The sequence below is a fragment of the Homo sapiens genome, chromosome 1 (assembly GCF_000001405.40).
Source record: "Homo sapiens chromosome 1, GRCh38.p14 Primary Assembly".
Taxonomy (NCBI): Eukaryota; Metazoa; Chordata; class Mammalia; order Primates; family Hominidae; genus Homo; species Homo sapiens.
Window position 1 is genome coordinate 63,257,535 of NC_000001.11, and position 12,449 is coordinate 63,269,983.

The window sequence follows — 12,449 nt, forward strand, 5'->3', positions numbered from 1 at the left end:
TTTTTTTCCCTCCCCAGTCTCTCTCTCCTGGTTGCATATCAGATCACTGTCACTCCTAAAATAGATTCAACTCCCTGAAAATATCTTATATGCCACCTAACTAGAATGTATGTACAAATTTTACAAAATCTCAACTGTACAATTCCTTCACATTTTTAATCAAGATGTGTACATTTGGTCCCAGGAAAGCTTCAAACACTAGATCGCAGTGTCTGTAATCATCTGCATATCTGTCTATTTTTCATACCATATGGGAAGCCCCTTGTGGGTAGGAGCCTTGTCAACCATATTTAGATTCCTACAACCCAGCACAGTGTCTGTTGACTAAATTCCTTGAAATCAATGAATGGTTTTTTTTCAGTTATTTTTATTCCTCATGGCCCCAACCATATGCCTCACACATACTCAGTAAACGTTTGTTGGTTTAAAAATCTTGTTGGAGGGGCTTACCTTGGGATATATTTCATAAGCACACAAAATGAATGTGTGTTTTGAATTGTCTCAGTAAACCAGTGCCTGCAATAACATAGACAAAGTAAGAAAAGAGAAAACAGACTTTGGTATTGAGCACAAAGCATTCAACCTGATCTCATAGTTTCACAGTCCAGTGTACGCTGCGCAGGACCATACTCCATGTGGACTAAACTACATTTTACACAGTTCTTTCTCTTAGCCTTTGCCTGGAGTGCTTTCACAACCAACCCAGCAATAATCAACAGTACGAGGCTTTACGTGCTAGTTCAGCTGCTTTAAAGCCAACATAATCTAGGCAGCATTCTACACTCAGCCTTTATCCAGACATTTGATAACCTAATGTGTGCCTGGTACTGGGCACTGAGTAAACCAAAGAGGAGATAGACTCTAGTAAGATCTGAACTGTGTCCTCAAGCCGCTTAGAATCTAGAGTAACACACTGTCAATAATGCACTGTCGTGTGGTAAGCACAGTGTCTGAGGAAAGAAAGCACAAGGTGCCCAAAGAGAGAGAACAGTATTTTGATTAAAAAAAGGTACCAGGCCAGACGCAGTGGCTCACACCTGTAATCCCAGCACTTTGGGAGGCCGAGGCGGGTGGATCACTTGAGGTCAGGAGTTCTAGACCAGCCTGGCCAATATGGTGAAACCCCATCTCTGCTAAAAATACAAAAATTAGCCTGGCGTGATGGCACATGCCTGTAGTCCTAGCTACTCAGGAGGCTGAGGCAGGAGAATTGCTTGAACCCGGGAGGCGTAGGTTGCTATGAGCTAAGAGGCATCACTGCACTCCAGCCTGGGCGACAGAGTGAGATTTTGTCTCAAAAAAAAAAAAAAAAGGTACCACTTCTGTCTACTTGGCACAATCCCCAACCCTGCATATGAAGAACTAGTTCCATTATCAGAATTTTTTTTTTTTTTTTTAGAGTCAGGGTTTCACTCTGTCTTCCAACTAGAGCGCAGTGGTGCAATCATAGTTTACTGCAGACTCAGACTCCTGGACAGCTCATTTTAGAGGACCGTTGATACACTGGACATGGTCTAAAGGAGAGCTGCCAGGAGAAAGGGTTATCTTTTCCCTTCCTCAAAGAGAAAGGAAAATTGAGAAGAATGTAAGAATATTAGGGAAAACAAATTTTTTGAAAAAATTGAAAATAACTGTTCTTGAAAGTTTCTCAGTATTCCTGGGGTGGGTATTGATGGTTTAAAGAACCGTGTCAAGTCTATTACCATGAACAGACTCTAATTGTGTTAAATCCCACACTGAGAGTGTCAATAACTCCACAGAGCCCAAGAAAGAAAATACAAACTCTTTCTTAGGCTGTGTTAAAGACCTCTGTAATCTGGCTTCAGTCTTGTGTCTCTTTGTTACAGAGACTATATCCATTTCCCCTTCTTCTATTTGTAATAAAAATTTTAGCTAGAAACATGGGTCTCCCAGAAAAAAGACTATGCTGTCCAGTTCCCCTGAAGCTAGGTGAGGCCATATGACCACGCTGAGGCTAATGGGATGCAAGTGAAAATGTCACGTGGCAGCTTCTGGGAGCCTTGAGGTCATGGGTCATGGGACATGACATGACTGAAGTTCCATGCTGGACTATGATGACAAGGGCCACACCCTAGGGATGGCAAAGCAGAAAATGAGAAGGAACTGGGTCCCTGAGGACTTCATGGAGCACAGCCACCATACCAGTCATGGATGGACTATCCCCAAATTTTGAACTGGAAGGCAAATTATTTTCTATCTTATTTCAGCCACTACATTTGGAGACTCTTCACAAATTGAGACCACTCTCAAGCAATAGCCTCAGTATAACTACCTCCCTTTCCTCCAGATCCTCCCCTAGTGGCCTGCTATGACAGGCACTGTGCTAAACCCCTCAACAGCACATCTCATTTAATCCTCACAAATACCCGGTTAGGTAGCAACTATTATTAGCACCATTTCACAGATGAAGAAATTGAGATTTAGTAAGATGAATTTACTTGCTAACTAGAGGCAAAGCCAGTTTTTTTAGTCCAGGCAGTTTGTCCCCAGAGGCTATATCTGAATCTCTGTGCTCTGAATCTCTGTGCTATATTATCTGCCTCACAGAGCTACTTTCCCTATTCCATGTCTTTACTCATATTATTTCCTCAGCACCTAAAATGACTTTCTACCTTCCCCATGTCCTTTCCTTCCTAGATGCACCACCTTCTGCATGAAGGCCCTGATGCAGAATAGAAAGAAATCCCTCCTCAATGAGTCCATTGTACCTTAACTATGCCTCAGTTACATCACTTTGCATATCCTGCCTTCCAATCTCGTTAGCTATCTTATGTGTCAGTTTTCCTCAATATATTTTAAGTTCCTTGAGGGCAAGAAACATATTTTACCTGTCCTTGTGTTTTCCATAGTGCCTAACAGTAAAATTCAATAAATCTCACTTGACTTGCTAAAAACTAAGTTCTTGGCCTGGTGTGGTGGCTCACACCTGTAATCCCAGCACTTTGGGAGGCTGAGGTGAGCAGATTGCTTGAGCCCAGGAGTTCAAGACCAGACTGGGCAACATGACAAAATCCTGTTTCTACAAAAAAATACAAAAATTAGCCAGGTGTGGTGGCGCTCACCTGTAGTTCCAGCTACTCAGGAGGCTGAGGTGGGAGGATCACTGAGCCTGGGTACTTCAAGGCTGCAGTGAGCCGTGATTACACCACTGCACTCCACCCTGGGCAGCAGAATGAGACCCTGTTTCAAAAAAAGAAAAAAAAGTTCTGATTGGAAGATAGGAGTTTTTGACTATTTTATAAATGAAAGACAGGTAGTGAGTTGTAGTTCTAAATAACTGATGCACTATAATAGCACTGTCCAGTAGAACTTTCCACAGTGATGGAAACTTTCTATACCCACACTAGCTAATACAGTAGCCACTAGTCACATGTGGCTACTGAGCATTTGAAATAAGGCTAGTACAGAAAAGGAACTGAAATTTTAATTTAATTTAATTTTAATTAATTTACATTTAAATAGCCATATACAGATAATAGCTACCATATTGGATGTTACAACTCTAAAATCATGTTGAAGCTTTGGAAAACAGCACCAGCATGATTTGTGTAGAGTAAATGGTCAGTAAATGTTTGCTATAGGACTTTGAATTGGATTGAAAGGAATCAGTAGACATCATCTAAGTAGATTTAAAAGGAAAAGAAAACTAATTGAAAAAGATACAAACTTCAAAAAATTCAGGAAAAACACAGAAAAAGATAAAGTTGAAGCAACAAAAACAACAACAAAAACACCAAGGATCATTATTTACAGCAGAAAAGAATCCTTAACAAACCCTTCCAGCAAAGCCTGGAAGAGGTATGTCAAGACAGGCAATTATATGACATACAAGCCCAGTTTAATAAAGACTGGGCTGGCATCCATTTACAAAACCCTCCAGAGGACACTGAGGTTTCTCATGCTATATTTAAAGAAACTGTCTGTAAAAGGTTGGGATGGGTCTCACTAGGCTGGAAAGAATAAGTCCAGATCACTCTATTTAACAACTATTCATCATAAATTCAATATTTTATTCGGTAGGGGAATGACAGAAACTCACTCACTCCTACTTATGGTAATTCAAAGCAAAAAAACCTTCTAGTTATACTATCAGGCCAAAATCTAAATTTTAGTCCCCTTTGGAATTTTTCACTTTTGCTTATATGCCATTAAGATGGCGCTTGAAGAAATGCAGTTAAGGACTTACACTGTTAAGTGAGCTCTTCCCAGCCTGTCCATTCTGGGGGTGACCTTTCCACCAGGTCCCTGGCATAAGGCAGTGTGTCTCCTGGAGCAAAGCCAGAATGTAAGATGAAAAGCCACATGCAGAGGATGATGCAAGGGAAACAATCATGACTTTCATAATGAGAGCCAGAAAGAAATTTGAGGTCTTATGCTCACTAGTTCCTAAGCCTGGGTGTTGTAGTCAGCATAATAACTTGCTTAACGTTTTATTCTTCAGGACTTCTAGCCACAGAAGAGTGAGCTATACTAGCAATCAAACTTTGAGTGTACTTGTCCATGTTCCCCAGTCAGAGATCCATACAGCATGTCGTAATTTAAAGAGAAACTTTCACAATGTTTGGAGCCCTTTATGCCCTGAAGATGAAGGAGGAGAATGTCCTCACATTCCTTCCAGCAGGAATCCACTTAGGTGGCACCCACCTTGACTTCCAAATGATACACTACAAAAGGAAAAGTGATGGCATCTACATGATAAATCTGAAGAGGACCTGCAAGAAGCTTTGGCTGGCAGCTTGTGCCATTGTTGCCATTTGGAAACTCAGCTGCTGTCAGTGTCACATCCTCCAGGAATGTCAGCCAGCAGGCTATGCTGAAGTTTGCTGCTGCCACTGGAGCCACTCTTATTTCTGGTTCCTTTGCTAACCAGATCCAGGTAGCCTTCTGGGAGCCATGTCTTCTGATGGTTACTGATCCCAGGGCTGACCACACACCTTTCACAGGGCTATCGTATGTTAAACTGACTACCATTGCTCTGTGTCACACATACTCTCCTCTACGCTATGTGATCATCACCATCTCATGCAATGACAAGGGGGCTCACTCAGTGGGTCCAATGTGGTGGATCTTGGCCTGGGAAGTTCTGCACATGCACGGCACCATCTTCTGTGAGCACCCATGGGAGGTCATGCCTGATGACTACTTCTGCAGAGGAAGAACAGTAAAGAAAATAGGCTGGGCACAGTGGCTCAAGCCTGCAGTCCCAGCAGTTTGGGAAACCAAGGCAGGAGGATCACTTGAGGCCAGGAGCTCGAGACCAGCCTGGCCAACATGGTGAAACCCTGACTCTACTAAAAATACAAAAATTAGCTGAGTATTGTGTCATATGCCTGTAGTCACAGCTACTTGGGAGGCTGAGGCATGAGAATCTCTTGAACCTGGGAGGTAGAGGTTGCAGTGAGCCGAGATGGTGCCACTGCACTCTAGACTCTAGCCTGGGTGACAGAGTGAGACTCTGTCTCAAACAAAAAAAAAAAAAGAAAGAAAGAAAAGAAAAAGAAGTAATTACTCACAAACTGAAGTAATTACGACTAATAATAGCAATGATTTACTAGATGTCTACTACACTCAAGCATTTAGCATATTTTATCTATAATTTCCCAGTTACAATGTAAGGCAAATATTATTAATATGATTACCCCCACTTGAAAAACAAAGAAACTGAGGGTCAGGGAAATTAATTGAATTCACCAAAGCCATACAGCTACTAACATAACAGGTGCTCAATGAAAGGGAATTCCCTTTTTTTTTTTTTTCCTTTTTAGACAGGGTCTCACTCTGTCACCCAGGCTGGAGTGCAGTGGCATGCTCACAGTTCACTGCAGACTTGATCTCCCAGCCTCAAGTAATCCTCCCACTTCCGCCTCCTGAGTAGCTGGGACCACAGGCACACACCACTATACTGGCTGATTTTTTTTTTTTTTCATTTTTTGTAGAGATGGAGTCTATGTTGCCCAGACTGGTCTCAAACTCCTGGGCTCAAGTGATCCTCCTGCCTTGGCCTCTCAAAGTGCTGGGATTATAGGAATGAGCCATCATGCCCGGCTAGACTGACTTTTTAAAGTAATGAAATTAACAAGTACTCAGGTAAACAAATTAAAGCCCCACAGGACATAAAGTGAAAAGCAAATGTCTTCTTCCTGCCACTCCTAACTCCCTAGAATTTCTTCCCTAGCAATAAGCAGCGTTAAACACTTTTGGATATTCTTCCAGGTATTTTTCATGCATTTATACAAGCAAGGCCATATTTGCCTATTTTCTTGCAATTTGCTTTTTTTCTCTTAAATTATCATAGACTTCTTTCCATATTAGAACATATAGATCTACCTCATTAAAAATAATTGTGCAATATTCTCCTCTATAAATGTATCATAATTTAACAACTTCCATGTCAATGGACAGTGTTTTGCTGTTACAGTCAATGCTTCAGTGATCATCCTTTAAATAACATCTTTGTACCCTGGTATGATTTATCTGTAGGATAAATTTCTTGATGTGAAATTGTGTAAGACAATGGGCACTTGAATTTTTGGTAGATATTCCCAAATAGCCCACTTGAAATAATATATAAGAATGTCTGTTTTCTTATCTGGCATTTTGATATTAGTTTGTTTAAAAAGAATTTTATTTTCCCTTCTAATAGATATTTGTCTGCTCCTTATTATTTCTGGGAGCTACTCAAATGTCCTTTGGAAAATCATCACTTTCCCATGTAGTTGCTAGGGCTTCACCAGGAAGAGACCATGTGCCTTAGTCCTTGCCAATCAGAGTATCAAATCCTCCTACTAACATTGTTGACTCAGGGGTTGACCTGTGACCTAAGTTGTTCCAATGCCCAAGACTCACATGGTAGTTGCCAAGAATCACTCTACTTTTTGCTGGGCTGAATCCTGGGAAGATATAGGCATGGGGTTGCTAAATGGCACGTTGCCTCCTTGTGGCATACCATTATGGGGGAGAGGTAAGCTAACAGATGGAGGCAGACGTTGCCCCCTAGATCAAGTGTAAATGAAAGTCAGAAAAATTTACCTCTGAATTTTTCAGTTGTTTGACCTAGTAGATTTCACCTCTTGCTCAATCTGGTTTGAGTTGGGTTTTTGGTTACTCACAACCTGAAGAGTCCTGTTGGATATATACCTATTTTCCAGTGCTCCAATATACTACAAATTTTAAGTAATATTACTAATTATTGACCGGATATGGTGGCTCATACCTGTAACTCCAACACTTTGGGAGGCCAAGGTGGGAGGATCGCCTGAGCCCAGGAATTCGAGACAAGCCTGGGCAACATAGCGAGACCCTGTCTCTACAAAAAAATTTTTAAAATATTGCCAGGTATGGTAGTGTGTGCCTATAGTACCAGCTACTCAGGAAGCTGAGGCAGGCGGATTGCTTGAGCCCCAGAGGTCAAGACTTCAGTGAGCCATGATTGCACACTGCACTCCAGCCTGGGTGATAGAGTGAGACACTGTCTTAAAAAAATAAAAAGCAATATAATGTTTTTATGCTAATCTCACAAATTATCTGGGCTACTGAATCAACTTGGTTCATTTATTTACTTTGTTTATTGGTCAGACCAGCCCATCACAGGATTTTAACACTATAAATTGGCCCCTGGACTAACTCATGCAGGCGAGCAGCAACTCCATCAAACCCAATAATTAATCAGGCAGTCCTCCTCCGTATGTCACGGTGACTATTCATTAAAGCAATGCATATGGCTTGTATCTACCTGTGCTAGCTTTTTGCTTTTATTCATGGTTCAACAAATTTATTAACTTTAGATCCAGTGGAACAAAGAAAAATTAGTACAGAAGATATTATAATTAGGCTGATAGCTTAAAATTAGAAAAGAAAAACTAAAATTGAGAAGAGATATTGCCACTAACAATAGAATCTGTGACATAAATACATAGGAAACATCTCAAGTTACAGGCCTGGACTCTAGAAACATGAAGAGACACATATGATGATGTCCATGTCCAAGGTCTTACTTTTTGTTTGAGGATATACCATATGTATTGAAAGAATAAGCAATGGCCTAAGGATATCACTTGTGAATGTCACATATTTCTGATCATCAAGATTCCCATTCAAGAAGTACAAAGCATCTTAAGAGTCATGAGTGAGCCAGGCATGGTGGCTCACACCTGTGATCCCAACACTTTGGGAGGCCAAGGCAGGATGATCGCTTGAGCCCAGAAGCTTGAGACCGGCTGAGAAACACAGCAACATCCCAAGTACAAAAATTTTTTTAAAGTTAGCCAGGTATGGTGGCACACACCTGTAGTCCCAGCCACTGAGGAGGCTGAAGTGGGAGGATCACTTTAGCTCAGGAGTTTGAGGCTGCAATGAGCTACAATCGCACTACTGCACTTTAGCCTGGGTGGCAGAACAAGAGTCTGTCTTTAAAAAAACAACAACAAAAAAGATTTATAAGGCCAGGTGCGGTGGCTCACGCCTATAATCCCAGCGCTTTGGGAAGCTGAGGCAGGCAGATCACTTAAGTCCAGGAGTTTAAGGCCAGGAGTTCAAGACCAGTCTGGTCAACATAGCGAAACCCTATCTTTACTAAAAATACAAAAAATTAGCTGGGCATGGTGGTGCACACCTGTGATCCCAGCTACCCGGGAGGCTGAGGCATGAGAATTGCTTGAACCCAAGAGGCAGAGGTTGCAATGAGCAGAGATCACGCCACTGCACTCCAGCCTGGGTGACAGAGTGAGACTCCGTCTCAAAAAAAAAAATTTATGAGCTAGTGAAGTATATCATACTGTATATATTATATATACTGTATAGGTGTTAACCATTTGCTAAAATAAGATTACCAAATTGAATTGACAATGCTTTAGTAACTTAGGTATGCAAAATGTAATTCCATATGATTTGTTGAACAATACACATAAGAAGCCAAAATACTGATTTAGAGGAGACTCTCAAATTGTCCTGGTGAGTGACATAAGACATAATAATAGCAGCTAAGATTTATTCTAATATATCAAAAATGTACATTTATATAATAAATGAATGCATATATTCATTTAATTCTCACAAATATTCTATGATGTTGTAACATTATTATTCCTACTTTACAGATGAGAAATCTGAGGCATGAGAGATTAAGCAATTTCACTGGGCATAGTGGCTCACACCTGTAATCCCAGCACTTTGGGAGGCCGAGACAGGAGGATCACTTGACCCCAGGAGTTCAAGACCAGTCTGGGCAATATAGCAAGACCTCATCTCTACAAATTAAAAAAAAAAAATAAGCTGAGCATAGTGGGGTGCACCAGTATTCCCAGCTACTTGGGAGGCTGAGATGAGAGGATCGCTTGAGCCTGGGAGGCAGAGGTTGCAATAAGCCATGACTGCACCACTGCACTCCAGTTTGGGCGACAGAGCAAGACCCTGTCTCAAAAGAAGAAGGAGGAGTAGGAGAAAGAGAAGGAGGAGGAGGAGGAAGAGGAGGAGGGGGAAGAGGAGGAGGAGAAGGAGAAGGAAAAGGAGAAGGAGGAGGAAGAGGAGGAGAAGGGGAAGAAGGAGAAGAAGGAGGAGGAGGAGAAGGAGGAGGAGGTGGGAGTGGGAGTTGGGGAGGGGGACGGGGAGAAGTAGTTAAGTGATTTGCCCAAGATAACTTCAGAGCCAGACTTCAAAACTAGATAGTCTGACTCCAGAGTCTATACCCAAAAAAAACACTATAGTGAGTGTATGATTCATATTCTATAAATTATTGCTTTGTTCATATTTTTAAGGAGAAAATATAGGACAAAGAATAGTAAAGACATGACTTCTTCTATTCTGGAATTCTGTACTTTCTCTGGAGCCTCAAGCTGTGCCTTGCACATAATAGATGATCAATAAACTCCTGTTTTATGAATGTATTAAGGAATAATATTTGTGACCATATGCCCCACTTGTCTTTGCAACTCCTGACTACATTACTTTTTCCTAGAATTCTTGTAGAGAAGGTTGCTCTCTAACCAAAATTCCCTGCAAGAAGCAGAGAGTGTTTGAAGTAGAAAGTATATAACAGAGCAGAGCACTGGTCTGAGACTAAGCCCTGACACCATTTAGTTATACACCCTTGAACAAGTCAATTTACTCCTCTTGGAAATAAATGCTCATATATGTCAAATGAAAGAGTTGAAGTAGATAACTGATTTTCAGACTATGCTAATAATGATGGAAAAAGGGGGAAGCATTATGAACAGGTTCAAGCTCTTTGGCTTCAAGGAGAATAGCTCCCCTCAAATCTGTTTTACATATTAAGTATATAAGAGTTTGTAGGCCAGGCGCAGTGGCTCACGCCTGTAATCCCAGCACTTTGGGAGGCCGAGGCAGGCAGATACTTGAGATCGGGAGTTCGAGACCAGCCTCACCAACATGGAGAAAACCCATCTCTACTAAAAATATAAAATTAGCCGGGCGTGGTGGCGCATGCCTGTAATCCCAGTTACTTGGGAGGCTGAGGCAGGAGAATCGCTCGAACCCGGGAGGCAGAGGTTGCGGTGAGCTGAGATGGCGCCATTGCACTCCAGCCTGGGCAACAAGAGTGAAACTCCGTCTCAAAAAAAAAAAAAAAAAAGTTTGTTTGCATAAAGTAACTCAAGGAGTTACAAAGTTTGAAGACAACTCAATTTGACCAAATTCTTAAGTACTGTCTCATTTCTAATATTCTATCCCTGGACTACCCAGACACACTCCAATATGTCAGACCCTTTGCCTGTTTTGACCTGTTCAAGAGATATTTTAACTGAATCTTAGAATTCTTTCCATCATTACAATTCTAGATCTGTCCTTTCAAAAGAAAGAAATTGATTTTTTTCCTCCACTCATATTTATCCGTTCACTTTTTGGAGGCTCTCCTTGCCACATCCTTAAATAAGTAACTAGGATAACTGTGGTAATTGCCTGACCTGCAAAGTGTTTAGAACTTCAAGGTTAATGCTCCTGGCACAAGATTTTCGCTACAAACAGCAGAATTCCTCTAACCCTTTGCTGAGGCATTGGTTCAATAGTAAGAGAAGATCATGCCATGTATTGAATTACTCAAAAGAGAATTATCAGAGTTCCCTGATAATCCCTGGTCTACCTATGGCTAAACCGTATTCCAAAAAGAACTGTCTTAAATAACTCAGGAAAGACCTTCACCAGAGATACAGTAGAAGAGCCAAATATTTAACAAAACTAAAAACCAAAACCTATATATTCAAGAACTGGTACAGCCCTACCCCAAATATTGTGCTAATTCCTTATGTTTCATTTTATAATACTGAACTTCCTTTCACATGAATGAAAAGAACTGTTACTATTAAGCCTATCCATTCTCTGGAATTTCTTTAATCAGTTTTCATTAAGGACTGTCAAACACATACATCATTTAGGGACTTTTAAATCTAAATTTTATTGAAGATATATTACATATGGTTTAATATTTCAGCTCAGCAATGGCCATTAGCAATAAGCATTACTCCAAGAGTGGGATTAATTAAATATTCTAGCAAACACAGTGATCCAAATAGCAAAGAAAAATCCTGGGCACTGAGCCCAGATTTCCCACCCTCTCTTCTGGTGTGGCTCATCGCTCTCTCTCAGATAAACTAGACAACCAACAAATCTTTCATCATTACTAGTAAATGTATAGATGGGTAATAAATGATCAAATCTCTCCATCAGGTCTCCTATTAGATTTTTTAAGCGTAAAACATTGCACAAAATCAAATTGCCCCATAAAAGGGTATTTTTTAAACCAAAGAGAAATACAGTTTTCAGAAATAAAAGGTAATTCCCCACAGTAATCAGCAGTTCTACTCTAATTTGACTTTACCATTCCTCCAGTGACAAGTTGGGAGATGGTCCTATTCTACAATTATAATCCTGTCTTTGCTATGTTATGAAGTTTTAAAGTATTTCAACTTTGTATATTATAGTGAATATAAATCTCAGCTCCACAGAAACCAAGAGATTCAGAGCAAACTCATGATCTTGATCCTACCAAGATTCCTGGGTTTGCACTCATAAGTTAAGACTGATACTCCAACCTTAAATCTTAGCTTTAGATCTGAATTCCTTGGCTTTTGTGATTTTAATCTAGACACTAATCTACTTTAATAGTGAGGGAATGGGAGGAGCTCCAAGCAGAATATTTACAAAGGGTCTTATTCATCAAACAGTCATAGTTCCTCTTCATTCCTTCTCTCAGCTAACAGCAGAGCTATTTGGTGACACGACAGATAAATCTAGCCGATTCAAAAACGACCTGGCAACAACCATTTCTTGTCATTGCCAAATCTGCACTTCTGGGACACAATGTACCATAAACCTTTAGCAAATCACCTTCTTCTTTCAATGGGAAGGCTGTTAATAAAGTAAAATCTTTGAAGCTGGATCATCTGACAAAAGGAACAAAAAGTGAAAGAGGAGCAGCA

The 12,449-nt window shown here is 40.7% G+C and overlaps 1 long non-coding RNA gene and 1 pseudogene across 1 annotated transcript in view, besides 2 other annotated features; one reads left to right on the forward strand and one right to left on the reverse strand.

Annotated features, from left to right (window-relative positions):
* The window catches only part of LINC00466 (long intergenic non-protein coding RNA 466), a 158,175-nt gene that overhangs the window by 98,452 nt on the left and 47,274 nt on the right, over positions 1 to 12,449 (reverse strand). The window contains exon 4 of the long non-coding RNA NR_038252.3: positions 451 to 516. This is a non-coding gene — a long non-coding RNA (long intergenic non-protein coding RNA 466). The remainder of the gene's footprint in view (positions 1 to 450; positions 517 to 12,449) is intronic.
* Positions 4,265 to 4,409: an enhancer, noted in NCBI's record as "145 bp 1:63727542 sequence used in MPRA reporter constructs". NCBI's record gives its function as "activates a minimal TATA-containing promoter with rs670318 allelic activity by MPRAs in C283T melanocytes and UACC903 melanoma cells {active_cell/tissue: C283T | UACC903}" and the evidence as "EXISTENCE:reporter gene assay evidence [ECO:0000049][PMID:36423637]".
* Position 4,337: a transcriptional cis regulatory region, noted in NCBI's record as "rs670318 or 1:63727542 MPRA-significant variant associated with a GWAS melanoma risk locus at 1p31.3". NCBI's record gives its function as "allelic transcriptional activity by MPRAs in C283T melanocytes and UACC903 melanoma cells {active_cell/tissue: C283T | UACC903}" and the evidence as "EXISTENCE:reporter gene assay evidence [ECO:0000049][PMID:36423637]".
* RPSAP65 (ribosomal protein SA pseudogene 65) lies at positions 4,515 to 5,215 on the forward strand (annotated as a pseudogene).